The sequence below is a fragment of the Homo sapiens genome, chromosome 3 (genome assembly GCF_000001405.40).
Source record: "Homo sapiens chromosome 3, GRCh38.p14 Primary Assembly".
Classification (NCBI taxonomy): Eukaryota; Metazoa; Chordata; class Mammalia; order Primates; family Hominidae; genus Homo; species Homo sapiens.
The window spans coordinates 147939995-147944972 of record NC_000003.12 but is presented as its reverse complement, the minus strand read 5'-3'; the positions used below and the strand labels follow the sequence as shown (position 1 = coordinate 147944972).

The window sequence follows — 4978 nt, the reverse complement described above, 5'->3', positions numbered from 1 at the left end:
TGGTGGCACATGCCTGTAATCTCAGCTACTTGGCAGGCTGAGACAGGAGAATCGCTTGAACCCGGAAGGCGGAGGTTGCAGTGAGCAAAGATCGTGCCATTGCACTCCAGCCTGGGCAATAAGAGCGAGACTCTGTCTCAAAAAAATAATAATAAATAAAAATAAAGCCTCCATTTTAATTGTGCAAGTGCTTTATGTATACAGGGGCTCCCAACATCATCAAGAGTAAAATATCATTGGTGCAATTTCTTTCATTGAAGATGACAAAAATAACTGTTGAATTCCAAATCATGGAAATCTGTTTGAAAGCCAATTTCATTATTTCAATACGTTTTTCATAGCAATATGTACATTGACATTCCAGAATGGGATACAGCCCAGCTCATCAGACTCACACGGTCTCTCAGATTTTTAGACAATACGTTCTGGAAACATAAATATCTTAGCATTTGAAGGGATATGTCAGTTGTTGTCTATTGCTTTCAAGAAAGTGCTGAGAAATGATAATTCCCATGCAAAATTTCTATTACCTAGATTTTGCATTCATACTAGGCTTTTAAACTTTGCAAACATTGAAAATTCTTTAATTGCTCACTTTTGGGGAAATATATATATTTTTGAACAGAGTCTTTCTCGGTCCCCCAGTCTGGAGGGCAGTGGTGTGATCATGGCTCACTGCAACCTCCACCTTTCTGGCTGAAGCCATCCTCCCACCTCAGCCTTTCCAGTAGCTAGGACTACAGGTGTTCATCACCATGCCCAGCTAATTTTTGTGTGTGTCATTTTTGGAAAAGATGGGGTTTCTCCATGTTGCCCAGGCTGGTCTCTAGGTTTTGGGCTAAAGTGAACTGCCCACCTCGGCCTTCCAGTGCGTTGGGATTACAGGTGTGAGCCACTGCTCCTGGCCTGGAGAAATAATTTTAATAGATAGTAACCAAAAATTATATCCATATGCCAGTAGAAATGTCTTTATTAGGATTCATTAAGAAGAAGATGCTAGAAAGCTTCTAGTTCAGATTTGATTTTGTGGGGGGTTCAGAAAAAGATAACCCAAAGTACAGCACTTTGACATACCAACTACTTAGAACTAAAGCACATTGGAAGGCCTCAGAAGCAGCATCAGGACTAATGTATGCCTCTGACCTTCTCCTGCCCTCCTGTTTCTTGCCCCTCATTCTTCCCTGAAGTGAGTCACAGAAACCAGAATTCCTCTTCCAAGTGAGTCATAGAAACTAGAACTCTTTTTCCCCAAACCAAGCCGTAAAACCTAGAATTATTACCCTAACTTTCCTCTGCCTTTTTGTGTAAAATCTTGTCCATAAGAAATTATATGACCTAATTTGTCTCAAAGAAGATGAGAAGAACCTTATTCTGGAAGGAGTCCTGCCCTATATCCAGGAGGAAAAAATGCCACAACAGACAGGCCAAGTAGAATCCAAACAGACAAGCCTTGCTGGCTTTTCCCACTCAGTATATTTCTGTTAGATCATTTCTCTCTTTGTTCAATCATATTTTTATATGACTGTTCACTCATCATTGAATCTAAGCATAAAAATGGACAGTTTTCCCTTGGGAGACTGGGCTTCATTTCTGAAGGCTCTCATGACTCATAAGACTTTGATTAAATAAATGTGTTACGCTTTTCTCTCATTAACCTGTCTTTTGTGATAGGAGGGTCAGCTGTGATTATTATGATGGGGAGGAAAGATATCATACCTTTTCTGGCCCTACAACATGTTATCAAGTCCAGCAATGATTTGTAAAGTCGCAAGGTCAAATAAGGTTAAAAAAGTACACACGCACATACACATAGGTGTATCTGTATGTACACACACACAAACACACACACACACATATCTAAAGTTACCTATTCAACTACAAATTATATTCCTTAGGGATTTTTACCTCTTTCAGTTCTCCAAGTAAATCTTTTTTTTTCTTTCTTTTTTTTTTTTTTTGAGACTGAGTTTTACTCTTGTTGACCAGGCTGGAGTGCATTGGTGTGATCTCGGCTCACTGCAACCTTCGCCTCCCGGGTTCAAGTTATTGTCCTGCCTCAGTCTCCAGAGTAGCTAGGATTACAGGCACCCACCACCATGCCTGGCTAATTTTTTGTATTTTTAATAGAGACAGGGTCTCATCATGTTGGCCAGGCTGGTCTCAAACTCCTTACCTCAGGTGATCCACCTGCCTTGGCCTCTCAAAATGCAGGGATTACAGGAGTGAGCCACTGTGCCTCATCAGTTCTCCAAGTAAATCTTATTTTTAGTTTTAACTATCATGGCCCTCTCCCATCCTCCCTCAAACAAAACAAAACAAGCACACAACCCAATAAATAAACAAACAAACAAACAAACTATAAAACAGATCATTTTCATTTGGATGTAGTCTTCACCTTCATCCTGATAATTGTCAACTCTTAATTATTTCATGGAACAATTATTTTACCTTAATTGCTTAAATTTATAGTTGATTGTGAAATGATAGGTTGGAGATGAACATTCCTACTGTGCATTTGTGACTGCATATGCAGAGCCTTGTACCTCTTAGCTAATCAAATTCTCTTGAGTCATTGACTAGATCCAGCATTGTCAGTTTGCCTAAAGGAAAGATGCTGATGAGGTTAGGCTCCTTCGAAAGCAATCATATGGTTAATTGCATTAGTGTGAACCTAGCCTTTGTGATTAAAGCCTAGGACTTTCGTTTAGGTAGAGCAGGGCTTCCATGCTTGAAGGCACTCCTTGTCATATCTAGTACTCTCCAGGCCTTGAGGAAATATGCTGAGGCATCAATATATTTCCCTGAGGAGTTGCCATGTTTGGGAGATCATTCAATCATTAGACCATATTCAAAGAAACAGGTTAATTTGAATATGTAAACACTAGATCACATATTCATATATATGCAATCTCTTTGAAAAGATCATCATCAGAATGCAGATTTAAATAAACAAGAACATACTCAAAACTTGACATATTATGTACTTGAATTTAATGTGCATCAGTGCTTGCCCAAAGGATTTTATACCTGTCATCTAATGATGCCTGTATACTGCTACTGGTATGCTTTTCATAGATGTACATTAAAAAGACTCACTGCTCTGTTTTTGAATAAAATCCTATGGCTCATATTTTCACAATTCCAAATGTAGTTATTGCTCATAAAATTTGGTTGGCAACATTTAGGCCACATTTATATACACACACACATCACACATACACACACATATATGCAGGCACACATATACACATGTATATATATGTGTGTGTAAATATGTACATAGATTAAATTTAGTACATAAAACATTTCAAAACTTGTTTTTAAGCTTTAAAAAAATTACATAGAATTAAAATCATTATTCTTTCCCTCTCCAGTGAAATATTGACTTCAGAGTTCACTTTTTATAAAGAAATTCTAAATCATTAAGCAAGTAGAGTACTATCCTTATTTTTTTAAATTACCCAACATACTTTTGGAGTTTTCGCAAGTGGAGGCTAGAATGCATTGATGCATAAAGAAACAGCTATCTATGTCCCAGTAATTCAAATCCAACACCATTTTGGCTAGATACATACTCATGGGAGTAACCAAGGGTAATTGATGATAAGTTCGAATTACTTGCATCTTATTCATCTTAAAATCAATCCCATAAGCTGTTATTACCCTATAGGCAATAATATCATTCTGTCAATTGTGAAAACAACGAAGTTTTATTAATCTTACTGTATTTACTGCTCCTCTATAACCTCATAAAAACTGGCTCCTGTGTATATAAAGCATTTAAGAAACCCTACTTCCTTGGAAATAGATGCAATCAATAAGATTTACCATTTTAAGAAATATTAATGTAAAAAGGGGGTCATAGGATGGTCTATTCTCATCATTTTACATTGTTCTCCAAACAGTTGCCTTCATTTTCAGGGTGAATCTCTGAATGTTAATAGCAGATGCATCACGTGCAGAAGCTGGGAGCATGCAAGCCATGTTAGGCACATAGATTCTGTACAAGGAAAAATGTTACACAAAGCATATTGGATCAGGGGCTTGATTTCAGAAATGGAATCTTTCCTTTCTATTTTAGACCTGTCTGACTCAGTATTACATACCACTATAAAAATTTGCTCATAAAAAGATTAAATATTAAAATTGAATGCAAAGTAATAGAAAAACAAAACCTCTATTCCCCAATGCAAAAATCAAATATGCAAATATGAAAATGAGGGGACTCTGCTTTTTTCCCCCTTATACAACTGATTAAATTGTCACTGCTGGAGATTACATGGGGTTTTATTCCCTTTACAGCCATATTCAATTGGACAGATAGAAAATTATATTGCCACAGACGAGACCCACCACTTGGGTACACTGTGCTTCCAGTTGTTGCAGAGGTCTTTTCCAAAACTTTGCAGCTACCCTTTAAAAAAAGAAAAGTATTAGATGTGGTCATTCATGACACACTAGATTTTTTCTAAAGTCCTTTCCAACTTGGAGATTTCAGGACAAAAACTACTCCTTTTACTTCTACGTATTAGCCTACAGCTTACTTCCCATGTAACAAAACCTTCACCAACACATCCCCTTTTTTTATATATATCTTATAAATGTATGTATGCGCAAATATATGTATGTGCATATATATATCTATATATCTATATATATATATATATATATATATATATCTCAGAGGCTTTTTTCTTTTTGTGTTTATACTCTATTTCCTAATTTGTGACTTTATTTCCTGGCTCAGCAGTTCTAACACAGAACCTCCCCCACCCCAACTCCTTTTTTTGCCCAGTTGTCTCTTCCAGATGAATATATTTGATTCTTGCACAAACTGAATACAGAAACAGGATTACCTGTGCTTCTCTCATGCCTTGCCATGGTTATGAAATGGTTTTCGCTGTCTGCCTCCGTGGAATAGAAGTTGGTGCTCAGCGACGCTGTCGCCTGTCTGTGTCACTCTGCACTGGGGCTGAAC

General features: G+C 37.3%; 1 long non-coding RNA gene across 1 annotated transcript; it reads right to left on the bottom strand.

Annotated features, from left to right (window-relative positions):
- Nucleotides 1-4269: 4269 nt before the first annotated feature.
- On the bottom strand, nt 4270-4978 carry LOC124909496 (uncharacterized). Its single transcript, XR_007096280.1, has 2 exons — nt 4857-4978; nt 4270-4414 (listed from the first exon to the last, which is right to left on the bottom strand). It is a non-coding gene; the product is annotated as an uncharacterized LOC124909496 (long non-coding RNA).